Consider the following 19,388-nt stretch of genomic DNA (forward strand, 5'->3'; position numbering starts at 1 on the left):
GAACACTGATGACCTTGTGTACCTGTTTGTGTTCATGTTTGTCTCCCTTTGCTTCAAATTGTCAACTTCTTCAGGACAGGAATGATGTCATTATAATACTGTAACTCCAGCACCCAGCTCAGAACCTAACTATGGTAAACAAAAAAGTAATAAGAAACGTTTAATATAGGCACTCAATATGGCCAGGAATTGTGCTAAGTGCTTTATATACTGAATATACACCCCCAAATATGCCACTTTGGCATAAGGATTATTTTGAGCTGAGGAAACTGAGAATGGGCACATGCAGGACGAGCTGTCTGCCCTCCCCTTTTCTGTGTGAAAGCAGGGCATAAATTCCCCTGTGAAGGTGCCCCCTCTCTCCATGCCAGGAGGGGAGAGTGGCTCTTCTCACTGGAGAGGGAGTGAGCATGAACAAACCTTGCTAAACTCACCGTCACCTTCTGTTAGCATCCCCCATATGTTCCTAGCCACTTCTTCATGATTTCCCATCCATGAAGCCCAAACCTCCTATTCTCTGTTAAAATGGCAGGTAAGCCCGAGTCTAACCACTTTTTTGAGTTTCACTTCTTTTCTGTAAATTCTCATGCACATAAAACATTTATTTAAACATTTTTGTTATTAATTTGTTTATTTTTGTAGAAATGGGGTATTGCTATGTTGCCCAGGCTGGTCTCAAACTCCTTGTCTCAAGCAATCCCCTGCCTCAGCCTCCCAAAGTGCTGGGATTTCAGATGTGAGCCACTGCACTCAGCCACGTAATTTTTTTTTTTTTTTTTTTGAGACAGAGTCTCACTCTGTCGCCCAGGCTGGAGTGCAATAGCAGATCTCGGCACACTGCAACCTCCATCCCCAGGATTCTAGCGATTCTCCTACCTCAACCTCCCGAGTAGCTGGGATTACAGGCGCCTGCCACCATGCCTGGCTAATTTTTTTATATTTTTAGTAGAGATATGGTTTCACCATGTTGGCCAGGCTGGTCTTGAACTCCTGACCTCAGGTGATCCACCTGCCTCAGCCTCCCAAAGTGCTAGGATTACAGGCATGAGCCACCGTGCCCAGTGATTTTTTTAAAAATATTTGCCTTTTTCCCTGTTAATTTGTTTTTTAAAAAAGTTTAATTCACAGGGCCCCAGGCAGTGAACATAAGAGGATAGAGGAAAAGTTCTTCCAGTTAGAGAGTTTTGGCAGCCGCAAAGGAATGACTGGGGCTCACTCCTGAGGGTGCAACCAAGATCTCTCGACACTGACCACGCTGACGAAAGGAGGAATTCTTACCACACCAGCCCCCCACAATTCTGCTCAGAATCTGGTCGAGCGAGAGTGGTAAAAAGTCTATCTTTGTATTTCCCTTTCCAAATTCGAGTTAGTAGAAGAACATCTTTGGAAGAGCTCGTTCTTTGGGTGACCCTTGTGAACTCGGTTTTCAGCACTCATGTGTTGGGTCCTTTCCTCCCAGGGACAGCCATTGTTTTCCTCTGTCTTTTCTGTCATTGGTCACAGGGGAGAGCACAGGCACAGGTCCCAGCAGCGGGTGAGCTTACGGTTCTCCCAGCAGCCTCTGCTCCACCCGGCCTCACACACTGGTGATCTTACGGTTCTCACTGGACCAGCATCTGTTTGGACCCATTTTGCTGTGGGTCACCAATTTCTGAAAAGTCCAGTGAAATTCTCCTTCTGTTTTATTGTGTGTCCTGACAGCATGGCATGGATCTGGTGAGAGAGTTCTCTCCCTGGCTTTCTGCTGGCTGGAGCACGGATCCCTGGCCTGCATGTGGATGTGACTGGCTGTCAGGAAAGGGCTGCACGAGGAACATTTTCTGTCCGACTGTTCCAGCTCTCAGGGGACTTTGTCTCAATAAGGTCTCTCAGCCCATAAGGGACCTCTGTCATCTGTCCCCTCGTTGCCTTATTGACCAAGAAAGTCTCATCTCAGTATCACCAGTCTGGTGTCACGGATTAGCAGGTTTGTGTGACTGGAGGCAGCTCAGGATTGTGGGAGACCAGAGACAAGTTTGCAGAAACACTGTTCTTAATGCCTGTGACAACGAGGGCTTGTGCTTTCTTTCTCTCTGGCCATCTTTGGGAGTTGACTCTGGATTAAGGAAGCTGCAGCTTCTGCACCCTTCATGGGGACACCTGGGCTATCCATGGTTCAGCCATAAAAAGGCCTATTGGTTTTAAGTCACGTATACAAAAGGTATATTTCTGGGGCTATCCTTTGGTTTGGAAAAACTTTCGCATTTGAAAGGATTTTTAGAGAACTTTCATCCTAAACAAGTAACTATTGGGACCTAGGGGAAGCGTCTTAGTCACTTTGGCCTGCTCTAACAAATTACCGTAGATGGTGATGTAAACCACAAACACTGATTTATCACTGTTCTGGAAAGTTGCAGGGGCCCGCATGGTCAGATTCTTGGTGAGGGCACTCTTCCTGGCCCTGTCCTCATCTGGCCTTCCCTTGGTGCATGCATGGAGAGAGATACAGATGCAGGGGAGGAAACTTTGTGTGTCTCTCTTTTTATAAGGACATTAATCCCATCATGAAGGCCCCACCTAATCTAACCCTAATTGCCCACCACAAGCCCCACCTCCAAATACCATCACATGGGGATCAGGCTTTCAACAAATGAATGTTGAAGGACACATTCAGTTTTTAACAACATTCCATCCCTGACCCCTCAAAATTCATGTGCTTCTCTCATACAAAATACGTTCAGTCCATCCCTACAACCTGAAAAATCTTAACTCCTTTCAGCATCAACTCTAAAACCTAAAGTCCAAAGTCTCATCTAAATATCATTCAGGCTGGGTGCGGTGGCTTACACTTGTAATTTCAGCACTTAGGGAGCCCCCCACAAGTGATCCTGGGAGAATCACTTGATCTCAGGAGTTCAAGATGAGCCTGGGCAACATGGCAAAACTCCATCTCTACAAAAAATTTTAAAAATTAGCCAGGAGTGGTGGTGCAGGCCTGCAGTCCCAGCTGAAGTGAGCAGATCACTTGAGCCAGGAGGTCAAGGCTACAGTAAGCAGAGATTGTGCCACTGCACTCCAGCCTGAGCAACAGAGTGAGACCCTGTCTCAAAAAAATAAAAATAAAAAATAAATATAATCTAAATCACATATGGTTGAGACTCAAGGTATGAGTCATTCCCAGGCAAAATTCTTCTCCAGCTGTGATCCTGTGAAACCAAGCAAGTTATGTAATTCCAAAATACAATACAGGTATTATCAGAAAGGGGTCCTGATCCAGACCTCAAGAGCGAGTTCTTGGACCTCATGCAAGAAAGAATTTGGCTGGGCACAGTACCTCCTGCCTGTAATCCCAGCACTTTGGGAGGCTGAGGTGGGCAGATCACCTGAGGCCAGGAATTCAAAACCAGACTGACCAACATGGAGAAACCCCATCTCTACTAAAAATAGAAAATTAGCCGGACATGGTGGCTCATGCCTGTAATCCCAGCTACTTGGGAGGCTGAGGCAGGAGAATTGCTTGAACCCAGGAGGTGGAGGTTGTGGTGAGCTGACATCGCACCACTGCACTCCAGCCTGGGTGACAAAGCAAGACTCCATCTCAGGGGGAAAACCAAAACAGTGAGATAATGCTGTCACTCACACCTGGCTCATGCGCCAGCAGGAATTGGGCACCCTCCAGAGACTGCAGGAGAACGGGGAGGACTTCTCCTTGCCCTGGCTGTTCCTCCACCACTTCCACTGAGGCAGTATGGCACCTGAAGCTTCCTACCCACCCAAGGCCTGGCTGGGCAGGCACCGCAGTGCTCCTACTCCTCCCCTTCCCAGCCCCCGGACTTGCTGTTGCTGCCGCCGCTAGTGCCAATGGCAATACGACTGCTGCTGTCACCCTCAATGCACTGGCCCACCCTACAAGGCTCCTACCATCTTGACCACTGCCGCAGCACTGCCCCTGCCATGGCCACAGCCAGCTGTCTTCCTACCGCATGCTGCAGTCTCCATAGCAGCCACCAAATGCAGCAAGGCAAGCGGCAGCCGTAGGCCATCTGCAGGCTCCAGCCTCCAGTGTGCGACAGGTGACCCTCCTTTTCCTGGCACAGAGCAGCTAGGCAGGCAAAGCCAGAAAAGCCTAGAGGAGGATGCAGGGAGTGGTAGCGTTAGAGCCTCACCTTATCATGCTGGCCACTGGGTGGCAGGGGCCGGTTTCATTGAAGGCACTCATACCCACCCTCCAAAGTCCAGCCTCTCCTTTTGGCCCAAGCTGGCCAGGAACTGGGGACTGGAAACAACGCATTGCCCAACTCCCCACTCCACTGGAACTGCTGGGCTCCCCAGAGCTATTGTCCTTGGGGAGGAGAACCAGCAGCAACTCAGACCCAGCCAGCCCTCCCACCCAAGTGCTGGTTCCCGATCCTGGTGCCTCCACCCACAGAGCCCCATCCCCCTGTGGTGTCTGCTACTCCCTGTCCTGCAGGCCCAGGGGTCCCAGGCAGTCTCCATAACACAGAGTAAGAGGGTGCAGGCCCAGGAACCACCACGGGTGTGGGGGCCCTGCCATGCTCAGGATTCCTGAAGAAACAGTGTGCATTTGCCCTGCTCGAGCAGGAGCAGGAGGAGGTCACCTTCCAGAGTCTGGAGTCCGGGGAGAGGAGGAAGACTCCTTCCTTGGAGGCTACTGCTGTTGCTGCAACCTTTGCTGCCACCAGCAGGGCAGCCCCTGATAGTGCCTCTAACCTGCTGCCTGCTGCCAACAGTATAGCCCCGGGATATTGCCCCTAACGCCCCCGCTCCCTACTCGCTGCCACAGTGTAGCACCTGATAGAGCCCCCAACCTCGGACACTGCAGCACCAGATAGTGCCACCAACCTGCCCCCTGCCATGGGCAATGCAGCCCGATAGTGCCCCCAACCCGCTCGTTGCTGTGGGCCATGCAACCATGGATAGGACCCCCAACCAACCCCCCACTATGGGCAGTGATGCCCCAGAAAGTGTTGTAACCTGCTCCCCACCATGAATAGTGCAGTCACAGATCCTTAAGGCCCCCAACCCACTCCCCATGATGGGCAGTGCAGCCCCAGATAGTGGATAGCACCCCCAACCATCCCCCAGCCTTGGGGAACGACACCCTGGATAGCGCACCCAACCCACACCCCACCATGGGCAGTGCAGCCCCAGATAGTGGATAGCACCCCCAACCATCCCCCAGCCTTGGGGAATGACACCCTGGATAGCGCACCCAACCCACACCCCACCATGGGCAGTGTAGCTCCCAAAAGTGCCTCTAACCCATATGCTGCTGCCAGCAGTGTAGTCCTTGATAGTGCACCAAACCCGATCCCCGCCACAGGCAGTGCAGCAGCTGATAGCACCCCTCACTTGCCCACACTGACTTCCATGCAGTCACTGATGGTGCCCACAACCCACCCCACCACCCTGCCTGCCACCGGCTGTGGGTATTGCCCCTAAACTGCCCCTTGCCATGGGCTGTGTAGCCCCCTATAGGGCACCCAATCCACCCTCTATCATGGGCAGTTTGGCCCCCAGTAGCACCCGAAAACCCCCCTACACATCTCTGCACCCCCCCCGTCCCCCACTGGCAGTGTAGCACCATAAGATACTGCCCCTAACCTATCCCCTGCCACGGGCATTGCAGTCCTAGTAGTGCTGCCAAGCCACCCCCCACCATGGGCAGTGCAGCCATGGATAGTGCACCCAACAAGCCCCCCGTCGTGGGCAGTGCAGCCCCAGATAGCACCCCCACCTCGCTCCCCACCATGGGCAATGCAGCCAGACCAGTCAGTGCCCCACCAGTCCCCCCAACCCCCACACCACCGGCAGTGTAACCCCAATAGTGCCCCCAACCTGCTCAGTAGCACTTTCAACCTGCCCCACTGCTGCCAGCAATACAGCCTAGGATAGCACCCCCAACCCGACCTCCAATGAAGGCAGTGCAGCCCAGGAGAGCTTCCTCAATCTGCTCCCTGCCAAGGGCCGTGCAACCCCGGATAGCGCCCTCAAGCGGCCAGCCCCGCAGCCCCCAGCTGTATAGAGGGTAATAGTGCCCCCAACCACCCCCACTCCCCGTAGCATGCAGGCAGCGCAGCCCCAGATAGCACACCTAAAGTAGTGACGCCCAGAATAACACCCCCAACCAGCAGCCCCGGATAGCGCACATACCCTGTTGCCCTTCTACGCTCTGGCTGGCTGCAGTCTCAGTCTTTGCCACCAACCACAGCGAGGTGAGCAGTGGTGCCGCAGGCTCCAGCCTCCAGCTTCCAGCCTCCAGCCTGTGGCAAGTGACTCCTCCTTCTTCCCTTCCTGTAGCCAGGCATGGAGCAGCTCTCACTGCCAGCTGCCTCCTACCGTTCCATCCACTCTGCAGTCTCCATCTAGGTTCCTGGCATGGCAGTAAGAGTTCTACTAATGGCCAACTCAGTACTTCTAGCTCTCCCTGCCTCCCTGCCGGACCTGCACATGCCTGAGGCCTGCCAGTGACACTGGGACTTGATGGGACTCAGGGGGGTTAAAGTGTAAGGGAAGAGAAAGAGATGCTTATAGCAATGAAATAAGCAAAGGAAAAATAGACATGAGTAATTTTCCCATGATGATTACTCAGCAAACCCACATAAACTCTTTTCATTTTTCTCAACCACGAATCCTTAGTCCTCCCTCTATGGGGTGCTCACATCAGATTCTACCCAGGTAAGCACAGAGCTTTCTGTGTCTGGAAGTGAAAGTGCCAAGCCTTGCCAGGGTCACCCAAAGGGGAGCAGGGGTTGATGGCTCCAGGACTTCAGAGGCCACCCTTCCAAACTGCCTCATTTTAAACAGAAAACTGAGGCTGAAAGAAGGAAGCAAATTGCCAACATCTTCTAGAGCTACCAATCCCAGAGAAAGATGAAAGAAACCTGGCAAAGTAAATTAGAGTTCCCAAATCACCACAAGTGTAAAAGTCAACAGGCAGGCACCAAAACTAATAATATCTTCACACAGAACTTGAAATGCAACTCTCTCTTTGATTACCAGGAAACCCCAGCTCAGGGTTCTAAATCTATCATGTACCCTTTGACATTTTTTTTCCTCCATTAACACTCACTTTATCCAAATATGCCCCCTCAGAGATGGAGTCCAAAGCTGGTTTCTGGAAGGAGACAGAGAGAGACCCCTCTGGTCCCGTGTCATAAGCCTGTGGGGCAGGTCAAGACTGCCTCTTGCCATGGCCCTTCTCTCTCTTTGGTAAACAGCAGCCTGCTCCACTTGGGAGCACACCCAATATGGCATGACTGGGATCCCACATGACTGAGGGTCCAGGATGGACATATAAGAGATTTTAAAGAAAAGTTTATCCTCCTCACCTTTTCCCTCTGCCTAGTAACAATACAATCTACACACTAGCTCCTCTAGAAAAGTCTGCACAGTGAGAACTGACTATGTGCTCCCAGCATTTAGAGACTTGCTGTAAAGCCAACCCAGGAATATCAGGGCATTTCACTGCAGATGGTCAGTTGACCAACCCCCTTTGGAAGCTATTCAACAGGTGTGACCATGGCACAATGACCTGGAAACAGGCATCTCTCACCCTTCCTCTGTTAAAAAACCTGAAATCCTGAAAAGGCAGAGCAGATACAATATTTTTACCTTTTCATTTCCATCCTAAACTTTCACCACTCCAAAAAATCTAAAATGATCTTTCATAGAATAACTCCACTTAAATGCCCTCAGAACTTTAGCTGCTATATGCGTTGGTTTGGAATGCAGTTTGAAGTATTTGAGGTTGTTCTAATTCTGCAAAATGAAAAGGGAAGCTAGGCAAATACTGAAACTTGCAACCACAATATCTCATTACTTTGCTGAATAAATTGTATAAATTTAAAATAGAAAAGTCACAGCACTCCCTGCCTAGGCCAAGTAACTATTGGTAGTGCTCACAAGCCTGCAGGGCTTGGAGGATCTCCTGATCCCAGGCAGTACCTTCAAGTCCCAAATGTTGTGGAAGTGCAAAGGATCTCCCAGGCACGCTATTAGCCTTTGCCTTTGGAGCTCCACAGCCACTATCTTATTGGAGTAGCTGTAGTTGCAGATCTCAGTTCCCTTTTTCAAGTGGCAAACCTTTAGCTTCCTCTGAGCTTTGAGGTTCAAAATGGCCACTAAGGTGCTTGACAACAATTTTCTATAATGCACGCATCTTCGGTATCAGTGCAATTCAGGGATCTGTTCCAGCTTATCCACAGAAGAAGGGAGAAAAATTTATAACTGGACTTACTACCCACAGCTAGGGATGTGTCCTTGTTGGAGTTGGCCCAGCTGGCACCGGCCTCTGATCTGGCTCCCCCGGTTCACAGCTGGGTGCACAGGGGTTGCGATGTGCTCAGGGTGTGCGCCAGTCCCACTTTCTGCCTCGGTGGCTGCCACTACCTCTCTGGGATCAGCCACAACCTTGTCCCGTCCCTCCTTGTTTTTCTAGTTTCTTGAAGTAGAAAGTTAATTATCGTTTTGAGGCCTTTCCTCTTTTCTGAGGTTAACATTTAGTGCTGTTAATTTCCCTATCAGCAGGGCTTTATTCAATTCCATGAATTTCTAAAATTTATTTTGAGGCTTTTTCTTTGATCCAAATATTATTTAGAAGTCTGTTGTTTCATTTCCAAGTGGTTGGATATTTTGCTGTTGTCTTTCTACTATGAATTAATTCATAGTTTGATTCATTTCATTATGGCCAGAAAACACACTCGGAATGATTTCAGTTCTTTTATACCTGCTGAGGTTGGTTTATGGCCCAGGATATGGTTTATCTTCCTGAATAGTCCATGAGCACTTGAGAAAAAGTGTATATTTTGCTGTTGGGCACTGTTCCGTAAATGTTGCTTCTACCCTATTGGTTGATGGTGCTCTCCTGTTCTATGTCTGCTAGTAATTTAACGCCTAGTGATTCTACCAACTGCTGAGAGTGAGGTGGTCAGACTTACAACTAGAATTTAAAATGTGCCTATTTCTCCTTTCAGCTCAGTCAGTTTTATTTTGTGTACTTTGAGGTTCTTTTGTTTGGTGGGGACATATTTAGGATAACTGCATTTTTGTTGGATTGATACTTTTATCGTTATATAGTGATCTTTTTGCCCACGAGTTTTCTTTGCTCTAGAGTCGACTTTATGTGATATCAATGGGGCCACTCTTACTTTGATTTGAATAATGTTTGTATGGTATATCTTTTTCTATTCTTTATCAACTCATGTTGTTAACTATGTTATGAATTTCCTATAAATATTTTAGAATTATGTTTCTTGTTCTTTCCACTCTGTCAATTTGTATTTTGATACACATTGATTATTTACATTTAAGATAAATATTGCTATGTTAGGCTGCTATTTTATTTGTTTTGTTTTCTCGGTTTTTCATTCATCTATTACCATTTTCTTATTTTCCTGTTGGTTATATCAACATTTTTTAGATTCCATCTTGTTTATTTGCAGTGTTTCTAAGCACAATACTCTTTATCGTTTTCTTAGCAGTTCTAGATATTAAAGTGTGCATATGTAACTTATCACAGTCTATTAGTCAGCATTTTACCACTTCAAGTGAAATGTAGAAAGCTTCATTCTACTTAGATCCCTTTACCCTCCCCCCTTTTAAATAGAATTAAGTATTTCCTCTACATACAGAGCATTTTTCTCCAAACATCAAATATGATGTCAGAAACTCATGAGAAACAGATTCTATTACATTTCCCCCTATTTCTGCCAACCTCCAATGTTCTTTCTTTCCTGTGTTCCCAGCCTTCCTGCGTTATATACTTTCTATTTAGAGAACCTCCTCTAGTCATCTTTTTAAAGGTAGGTTTGCTAGCAACATTTTCTCTTAGTTTTCCTGTCTGGTAAGCTTTTTATTTCCCTTTGTTCATGAATATAGTTTCAAAAGATAGAGAATTTTGTTATGGTTCTTTTCTTTCAGTATCTGAGAAAATGTCCTACACTTCCTTCTGGCCACCATGGATTCAGATGAGAAATCTGCCATTCTTTTATGTAGGGAATGTGTTATTTATCTCTGGTTACTCTGAAGATTTTGTCTTTAGTTTTCAAAAATTTAATTATGATTTGCCTTCACCATGGATTTATTTAAAATTATCTTATTTGATGTTATCTCAGATTCTTGAATGTGTAGTTTCATAACTTTTGCTAAATTTGGGACATTTTCAGCCATTATTTTTTAAAATACTTTAAATACCTCTCTCCTTTCCTTCTGGTACTCTGATGTTACAAATATTCGTTATATGGTTATCACCCCACTTTCTAAATATTGAGAGAATCAAATCTCGTCTCATTCCCTTTAGGCCTTTCGGTTTTGTCCAAGCCACCACAATCACTCAGGAGGGAAACGACCACAGCTCCTTAATGAGCTCTATATGTTATGCCCTGCCTAGTATTTTCTCTATAGAGAAAATATACAGAAATATAGAGAAAACTCCCATACAAACATAAACCAGACGTTGCTCATTTGTTGAAAATCTACCACTAAATTAAGAATAAAATGAATTTACTGAATAAAGCTTACGATAGGCTCACCTTTGGAGTCTACTGCCTCCTGACATCACCTCCTGCCTTCTCCCTTCAGCCACTGCGACTTTTTTTGTTATTCCTCAAAACCACCAAGCACATTCCTGCCCATGGCTAGCAGCTGCTGTTACCCCTGCTAAAAAGAGGCAGAATCCTCATGTCTCACAGTCATTTCAGTCAAATTTCTGCTCTTCTGTTGATCTCAGTAAAGTTTCCCATGACTATTCCTTCAAGAAGCCCACTCAGTCTAATCTTGCTTTATTTTTTTTAATAGTCTTTAAAACCACAGAACATTTAATATACATGAACATCTGTTTATGTGTTTAGTGCTACTTCTGTGAATTCATTTAGAGGCAAAAAATTATCAAGTCTGCACAACATACCTGAAACGATTATAATTTCTGGAAATACTAAGATTACTAAAAACCTTCTTGTATTCATGGAGCATAAAGTCTGGTAAGAAAATATGTTACAATGGTGAAAATACACAGAAGATTGGCTAATTCTATAAATAAGGAAGTAAGTTGGTTCTGTTTTGAGCTTCACTGAGGAAGCACAGCTGTTGGTTGAAGTATTAGTATGCTGTGTCCTTCATAAGCACAGAGCCATGGCACAGGCAAAGGTGGGGGCCTCCAGCACGTAAAAAATTAGCAAAAGGGCAAACAGCACAGGAGATGAGAATATGGCCTGGTGCCTTCATGAGAAAAATGGCCAGGGAAGTATTCAGGGAATGGGCTACAGAGCAACAGACTCCAAAGCATTTGATCATTTACTATTTTCTAGAATATTATTCAGCATTACAGATTTATATTTAAAAATTATAAAAATAAATAATAAATTCATTTATTATAAATAATTCTTATTTGGATTTTAAAATGAAGAAAACAGCCTAATATTTTATTTATTTTATTGCAATATGTATTCTGGGTTCTAATCCTTTAATTCAGAGACAATAAGGATGTGTAGAAAATGGAAAGATTTTTGAACTGTTATACTTGAAATTTCTGCAGAGTATATAGGAGATGACCAGTTGGATCTTTCTGAAGATCCTCTAAGTGTACGCCTCTTCTAGGGATCACTGCTATGGAAAATGGAGAGCAGAAGGTGAGACGTAAGCATAGAATGAAATCACATTGCCAGGTTTCCTCTATAGAAGCAATTCTCTTGAGAGAGGAGGGAATAGATAAAGTATAAAACAAGACCCTTTACATAAACTACTGTAGTTGAAACTGGGATGAAAATAGGGCACTGATAATAGAAGACAGAGAGCAGCAAAACGTGGGAACCAATTCATGGAGAGGAAAAAATGTTTCCTCAGGTGATCCCCATGAACAGTGGCTCAGATACTAGAGTCACAAAGTAAGCCAGGAAAATCAGGGAAAAATAGATTAAACACAGTATTCCAGCAAGATGGGTCTTAAATATACTAAATTCGAAGCATAATATGGAGATCAAGAATGAAAATAAGGATTTGAGAGACATTGATAATTTAGTGGTGTTCAAGCCCATCAAGAGTGAATCAGAAGGTTGTGAGGGAACTGAGAAAAGAAAATAATCAGGAATAGAATCTGAGGGTAAATTGGCTTTTAACAGGCTTAAAAAAAGAATAGGCCATGGAAACCATGATGGAATTTTCTGAAATGTGGAAATATAGGTAACAATAAATAGTTTTAAAAACCAAGAGATGATCATAGGATCATATCAGTAGATGCAGAAAAGCATGAGAAAAAACTCTTGGCTAACTAGAAATAGAAAGGAATTTTCTAAATGGTAAAACGATGTCTACAAATGTCTACAGCAAACATCAGTACTTAGTGGTGAAATATGGAAAGTGTTTAACTAAAAAACTAAGACCGAGATAAGGATGCCTGCTATCTCCAATTTTATTCAATATTATTAAAAGTTCTTACAATAATAAAGTAAAACAATTATGTACACAGAAAGATACAAATAAAAATATAGTTTTAGAAACAGATTATGAATTCAATACAACAAATGTTTGGTATTTCTAGTTAAGGTAGTGTGACATAGGTGTAAGGATTTTCAAATGCATCAACAGAACAGGAAAGAGAGAGTTCAGAAATAGATCCACATGGATATGGACACTTGATTCATGACAAGGTTTCAGAAAAATAATAATTTCAATAAATTGTTCTAGGTTCATTATAATGAGATTTATTGCCATCTTAAGTGTAAGCAAAATCCATCTTAGACAGTGTACATATCTAAATTTGGAAATTAAAGCAAAAAGTTTTAGAAAATGCCATAAAAAGTTTTTCTTCATGACTTCAGAATAGGCAAAGACTTCTTAAACAGGGCACAAATTACATCAACCATACTCTATGAAAATTAAGAACTCATTTTATCAAAAGATAAACAGAATAAAAATGCAACCCAGAGTGGGAGAAGATGTTCAGAAAACACATATCAAAGAATTCCTATTCCGAGCATAGAAAGAAATTTATCCTTAACACAGTATGAAATTATCCCACTCTTACCTAGCAGAGAAATAAATTGTATAAACTAATGATAGAAGTAGGCCGTCTCAACAGCCAAACTGACAGCAAACATTTCAAGAGAAACTATGAAAGTCAGAAGACAGTGCACAAATTTTGAACAGGTAACTTGTAAATGAGAAAATCAAAATGTAATGACATTTTAAAAAGTCAAAAAGGCAACCAGAAAATTCTAAACCTTTCAAGGACACTCTTCTAAAATAAATATATTTTCCAAATAAAGACTGAAAAAAAAAAAGTGACAACAGTAAACAACGCACAACAAGAAATACTACAGTTCTTCATGTTGGAGAAAAATAATATTTGATGGAAGAACAGAACTGCAGGATGGAATGAAGAAACCTGAAAAGGAAATTCAACGCAACTACAGTAATGTCTATTAGAATCTGACAATCGTAAAAACCAAGTATATCAGAACAATGGCAAAAAAGGCAGGATAAGGGTAAACAAAGTTAAACTGTTTTGAGAGTCTTACACTGCCTGTGATGTAGAAAAGTCCTGTTTCCTACATCCTAGTTTAAGGTAGAGAAAAAAAGTTGAAAATGAATACTGTAATAACCAGAGTGAACACTACAAAAATATAAAATGGTAAATGAAGAAACTACTAGACATAAAATTAAAATTTATAAAATGCCTGTCAAGAGGAAAATGGAAGAATAAGTTATATTTTTTCCCCGTTTGCTATCCTTTATTAAAGGGCCCACATCCTCTTGGGACTCCAGCCAAACCAGTCAGGTCCCCAAATATAGCAGGAGGCCTGGAAGGGGAGGGGAATGACTTATGATCCCACCATGCCTCCTTAGAAACAGAAACCACCACAGACAGCCAGACGGACAGAGGCTGGGGAGAGCTTGTCTCACTCTCAGTCCTCTTACCCTTTCCCCTACTTGAAAAGAAACTCAAACACTGGCTATGCAGCACCCTAGCCCCCACCTCACCCATAGCAGCATTTGTGGGACCCGCTCCCTTGCAAGGGGTGGCCCCGAGGCAGCTTCCTACCTCTCCCTTCACTTTGGTTTGCTCCTGGCAACTCCGCGCCCTCTTCCTCAGCCTCCGCCTCGGTCTCCCCCATGTCTTCTATCACCTGCTCGGACCTTCTCTCTCATCTCCTGAGCCTCCCTGCCCCAGTGCTTCTGGGGGAAGCAGCATCTCAGGTGTCTTCCCTTCTCCTAGCAAGGGACTCCACCAGGCCCTCTGCCCAGGATGTGGGACTCACACAGCCGCCCCACTCTCCTTGAGGTCAGGGGCAGAGCGCTGCCATCTCATTTGTGGGGGAGTAGTGTATGGGGAGTAGCGGGGTCTTGGGGGCCGCTGGGCTGGGTACAGTTGGGGCTGCTGAATGTAAGTTGTGCTTTTTGGCCTAGAAGTGCTGGGGTTCAGGCTGTGCAGAACCCGCTCCCCAGGATTGGCCCCCTTCCTCCAGGGAGTTCCTGCGGAGATGGTGGGACCTTCGGGGACTTGGAGGCCTGCGGGCAGGGGTGGCTGGAGGGGGAGTGACCTCCTCAGGGGGAAGGGGTGGAGCTGGAGCCTCCCCGCTCCCCATCCCTGGCCAGGACTCCAGTGCTGGGCATTGCTCTTGAAGGGGAAGCGCAGCTTGCATCGTGAGGGGTTACAAAGCGGGTTGGGGGCCTGTGCAGCACCCCCGCTCCAGCCCTCACAGCGCTGCAGTCCCTGCAGCTGTAGCTGCTCCTGCTTAAGCCAGCAAAGGTGACCTCGATGGAAGGCAGGGTCCTCCTCTATGAGCCGCGACACCCACTCCCAGCTTGACAGTGGTGGTGAGGGGGACCAGGCTGAGGGCATGTGGTCACTGGGGGCTGCCTCCTCTCATCCTTCAGGTGGGGCCCAGTGGAACTCACCACCTTCTTCATTCTCATCCTCATGATCCTGGGCCAGGGGGATGATCCTCTCCATGCAGACCATGCGGTCCTGCAGCGCCTGCAGCTCCCAGTCCTTGCTGCTGTTCTGCAGCTTCACCTGCTGCAGAATCCCCATGAGCTTGCAGATGTGGGCCTGGAGGTCCTCCACCTCCACCCCTCGGGTTCCCTCCTCGCTGCCACCACCACTGCCAGCTCCACCTCCTTCCTCCTCGCCCACGGTGTCCCAGAAATCCCGGGCCACAGCCCTCCAGGCATCTCTGGGGCCCTCTGGCTTGCCATAGGTGTGACACAACTCCCACACCTTGAGGGTGGCCAGGGCCTCAATCTCAGCCTGCCCGTGGTGGAAGTAAGCCAGGGCCAACTCATAGCAGATCTTCTTCACCTCCTGCATCTTCAGGTCAGGCATGGTGGCCCAGCGGGGGTCTTTGCCTTGCAGCCTTCGTCAATGGGGGATCTGATAAACTCTGCAAGGGGCGCTGCGCTTACCACCACCAACCACAGTGAGGCGAGCCGCTGGGCCGCAGGCTCTAGCCTCCAGCAGCTAGCCAAGGAGGAGCTCTTGCTGATGGCTGCCTCCTACCACTCTAACCATACTGCGGTCTCTGTGGCCATCTTCTTTGACTACAAGGGAATAAAACTAGATATCAATAAGAAGAGTAATTTTGGAAACCATACAATCACATGGAAGTTAAACAATACACTCCTGAATGAATGACTAGTGGGTCATTGAAGAAGATACTAAGATGGCAATTGAAAAATTTCTTGAAACAAATGGTAATGAAAACATAATATACCAAAACTTATGATACACAGAAAGCAGTAGAAAGGCAGAAATTTTTAGCTGTAAGTGCCTACCATCCAAACAGAAGAAAAACTTCACATAAACAATACATCTTAAATAACTAGTAAAGTAAGAACAAACTAAACCCAACATAAATAATAAAGATTGTAGCAGGAATAAAATTGAAATGAAAAAAATACACAAGATTAAACAAAAAGTTGGTTTTCTGGAAAGTTAAACAAAATTGACAAACTTTTAGTCAGGCTAACTAAGAAAAAAGAGAGAAGATTCAAATAAATAAAATCAAGAGACAAAAAAAGGAGACATTACAACTGATACTTCAGAAATTCAAAGGATCATAACTGGCTATTTCATAGGCCAATAAATTGGAAAGCCTAGTAGAAATTGACAAATTCCTAGATTCATGCAATCTACCTAGGTTGAACCATGAAAACATCCAAGACCTGAACAGATCGGTGGTAACAAGTAATCAGATTGAAGCCATCAGGAAAAGTCTCCCAGTAAAGAAAAACCCAGGAACCGATGGCTTCACTGCTGATGGCTTCACACCACACATTCACAGACCTAGTACCAATCCTACTCACACTACTTTAAAAAACAGGACAGAATACTTCCAAACTTACTCTATGAGGCCATTATTACCCCGATACCAAAATCAGACAAAGACATGAAAAAAGGAAACTACAGGCCAGTATCTCTAATATTGACACAAAAATCCTCAACAAAATACCAGCAAATCAAATTCAGCAATACATTAAAAAGATAATTCATCATGATTAAGTGGGATGTATCCCTGGGATGCAAGGGTCATTCAACACACAATCAGTGTGATACACCATATCAACCAAATAAAGGACAAAAACCATATGATCATGTCAATTGAAACTGAAAAAGCATTTGATAAAATTCAACATTGCTTCATGCTATAAATCATCAAAAAACCAGGTACAGAAGAAACATACCTCACTATAATAAAAACCACATGAGAGAGACCCACAGCTAGAATCACATGGAATGGGGATATATGGAAAGCCTTTCCTCTAAGATCTGGAACATGATAAGGATGCCCACTGTCACCACTGTTATTTAACATAGTACTGGAAATCCTAGCTAATGCAAAATCGTAGCTAAAGCACACCCAAACCTTCCCCTTCCCTGCACCGTGGGCATTGCAGCACCCCATAGCCCGCTCAACCCAAAACCCCCCACCTGCCCCCGCGGGCAGTGCAGCCCTGGATAGTACCCTTAACCCACCTCACTGCTGCCGGCAATACAGTCTGGGATAGCACCCCCAACCTGCTCCCTGCAAAGGGCAGTGCAACCCTGGATAGGGCCCCCAACCCACCCCCTGGTGCAGGCAGCACAGCCCCAGATAGCGCACCCAACCAGCCACCCAAGGCAGGCAGTGATGCCTGAGATAGGGCCCCAACCCACCCCAGGCTGCGGGCAGTGCGGCCCTGGATAGCGCACCTACCCCTTTGCCTTTCTCTGTTCTGGCAGACTGCAGTGTCTGTCCCTGTCACCAACCGCAGCAAGGCGAGCCAGCAAGGCAAGCCAGCGAGGCCAGCCATAGTCCCGCAAGCTCCAGCCTCCAGCATGCAGCAGAGGGCATCTCCTACTCCAAGCTGGGAATGCAGCAGCTATGGCGTGACCCCTTAACATGCTTTATATACCAAGTTTATAAACTACATGTTCTGATTGTAATGAAAGGAAAACAGCTAGGCCAACTCTGATTGGACTTTATCTTCTCGTTCTGATTGGTTATTCTAAGACTTGCTCTCATCCAATCAGAACATGAAAATAAAGTTCAATTAGAATAGGTCTAGCAGTTTTCTCTCATCCAATCCAGGAACCTCACTTGCATAACCTCAGTATATAATGCATGCTAAGGGGGAGTCCCGCCGTAGCAGGCTGTTCTTTGTCAACCTGTCCAGCCACTCAGTTTGCAGCTTAGAGAAGGTGGAAGTGGACTCCCCTGCCACACTCTGGAGGCTGGAGCCTGTGGCACCAGGGCTTGCATCTGCATGGTGTGTGACGGTGATGGAGATTGCAGAGCGTATGGAGTGGTAGGAGGCAGCTGGCAGCGAGAGCTACTTCCATGCCTGGCTAAAGGAAGAGAGGAAGGAGGCACCTACTGCAGGCTGGAGGCTAGAGCCTACGGGACTGCGGGTGGCCTCACTGACTCACCTCACTGGCTCGCCTAGCTGGGGTTGGTGGCAGCAATGCACACTGCAGCCGGCCAGAGTATAGAAAGGCAATGGGGTAAGTGCACTATCCGGGGCTACACTGCCCACGGCCGGGATCTGGTTGGGGTGTTATTCCAGGCAGCACCACTTTAGGTGTATTAGGGTGTTATCCTGGGCGTCACTACTTTAGGTGTGCTATCTGGGGCTGCACTGCCCACTGCGGGGGGCGGTGGGGGGGTGGTTGTCAGCACTATCCTGGGCTGTATTGCCGGCAGCAGTAGAGCTGGTTGGGGGCACTATGGGTGCTACACTTCCTGCAACAGGGAGCAGGTTGGGGCCACTATTGTGGTTACACTGGCAGCGGTGTAGGGGTGTGGGGACTGGTCGGTCGGGGCTCTGACTGATCCGGCTTCTTTGCCCACAGCGGGGTGGGGATGCTATCTGGGGCTGCACTGTCCATGGTGGGGGGCTTATTGGGGGCGCTATCTGGGGCTGCAAGGCCAATGGCAGGGCATAGGTTAGGGGCAGTATCGCATGCTACATGGCTGGTGGCGGGGGTGGGGATGGAGAGGTTGGGGGGTGCAGGGAGGTGCTTGGTGGGGGGTTTTCCAGCGCTATCAGGGCCAGACTGCCCATGATAGAGGGTGGGTTGGCTGCACTATTGGGCGATTCACTGCCCATGGCAAGGGGTAGTTTGGGGGTATCCTGCCAGTGGCAGGCGGGGTGGTGAGGTGGGTTGTGGGCACTGGAGGGGGACTGCACTGCAGTCAGTGGGGGTGAATTAGGGGCACTATCAGCGTTGCACTGCCTGTGGTGGGGGTTGAATTTGGTGCGCAGTTGGGGACTACACTGCCGGCAGTTGGGGACTACACTGCCGGCAGCGGCATATGGGATAGGGGCGCTATCAGGGGCTACGTTGCCTGTGGTGGGGTGCGGGTTGGGTGTGCTATCCAGGGCGTCATTCCCCGTGGCTGGGGGATGGTTGGTGGTGCCATCCACTATCTGGGGCTGCACTGCCTATCGCAGGGAGTGGGTTGGGGGCCTTAAGGATCTGTGGCTGCACTGTTCATGGCGGGGAGCAGGGGCGTCACTACCTGCAGCGGTGGGGGGTGGTGTTGTCTGGGGGTCCTATCCGTGGCTGCATGGCCCATGGGAGGGGGCAGGTTGGGGGAGTTATCTGGTGCTGCAACGTCCGAGGCGGGGATGGGTTGGAGGCACTGTTGGGTGCTAAACTGCAGTGGTGAAGGCCGGGTGTCAGGGGTGCTATCCTGGGGCCAACAGTGGGGTGGCGGGTTAGGGGTACTATCAGGGGCTGCCCTGCTGGTGGTGGCAGAGGTTGCAGCAACAGCAGTGGCCTCCAAGGAAGGAGCCTTCCTCCTCTCCCCGGACTCCAGACTCTCGAGGGTGACCTCCTCCTGCTCCTGCTCGAGCACAGGGAGTGCATAGCGTTTCCATGGGAATCCTGAACATGGCAGGGCCTCCAT

The 19,388-nt window shown here is 47.2% G+C and overlaps 1 pseudogene, besides 4 other annotated features; it reads right to left on the minus strand.

The window, feature by feature from the left end:
- Positions 8,143 to 8,332: an enhancer, noted in NCBI's record as "active region_13099". NCBI's record gives its function as "activates an Ori minimal core promoter by ATAC-STARR-seq in GM12878 lymphoblastoid cells {active_cell/tissue: GM12878}" and the evidence as "EXISTENCE:reporter gene assay evidence [ECO:0000049][PMID:35858748]".
- Positions 14,045 to 19,388, minus strand: LOC107985122 (kinesin-like protein KIF1C; annotated as a pseudogene).
- Positions 16,574 to 17,115: an enhancer, noted in NCBI's record as "H3K4me1 hESC enhancer chr18:12058991-12059532 (GRCh37/hg19 assembly coordinates)". NCBI's record gives its function as "activates a minimal SCP1, AML or CMV promoter by ChIP-STARR-seq in primed H9 embryonic stem cells {active_cell/tissue: H9 hESC(primed)}" and the evidence as "EXISTENCE:reporter gene assay evidence [ECO:0000049][PMID:30033119]".
- Positions 17,116 to 17,655: an enhancer, noted in NCBI's record as "H3K4me1 hESC enhancer chr18:12059533-12060072 (GRCh37/hg19 assembly coordinates)". NCBI's record gives its function as "activates a minimal SCP1, AML or CMV promoter by ChIP-STARR-seq in primed H9 embryonic stem cells {active_cell/tissue: H9 hESC(primed)}" and the evidence as "EXISTENCE:reporter gene assay evidence [ECO:0000049][PMID:30033119]".
- Positions 18,198 to 18,737: an enhancer, noted in NCBI's record as "H3K4me1 hESC enhancer chr18:12060615-12061154 (GRCh37/hg19 assembly coordinates)". NCBI's record gives its function as "activates a minimal SCP1, AML or CMV promoter by ChIP-STARR-seq in naive H9 embryonic stem cells {active_cell/tissue: H9 hESC(naive)}" and the evidence as "EXISTENCE:reporter gene assay evidence [ECO:0000049][PMID:30033119]".

This window comes from Homo sapiens, chromosome 18 (genome assembly GCF_000001405.40).
Source record: "Homo sapiens chromosome 18, GRCh38.p14 Primary Assembly".
Classification (NCBI taxonomy): domain Eukaryota; kingdom Metazoa; phylum Chordata; class Mammalia; order Primates; family Hominidae; genus Homo; species Homo sapiens.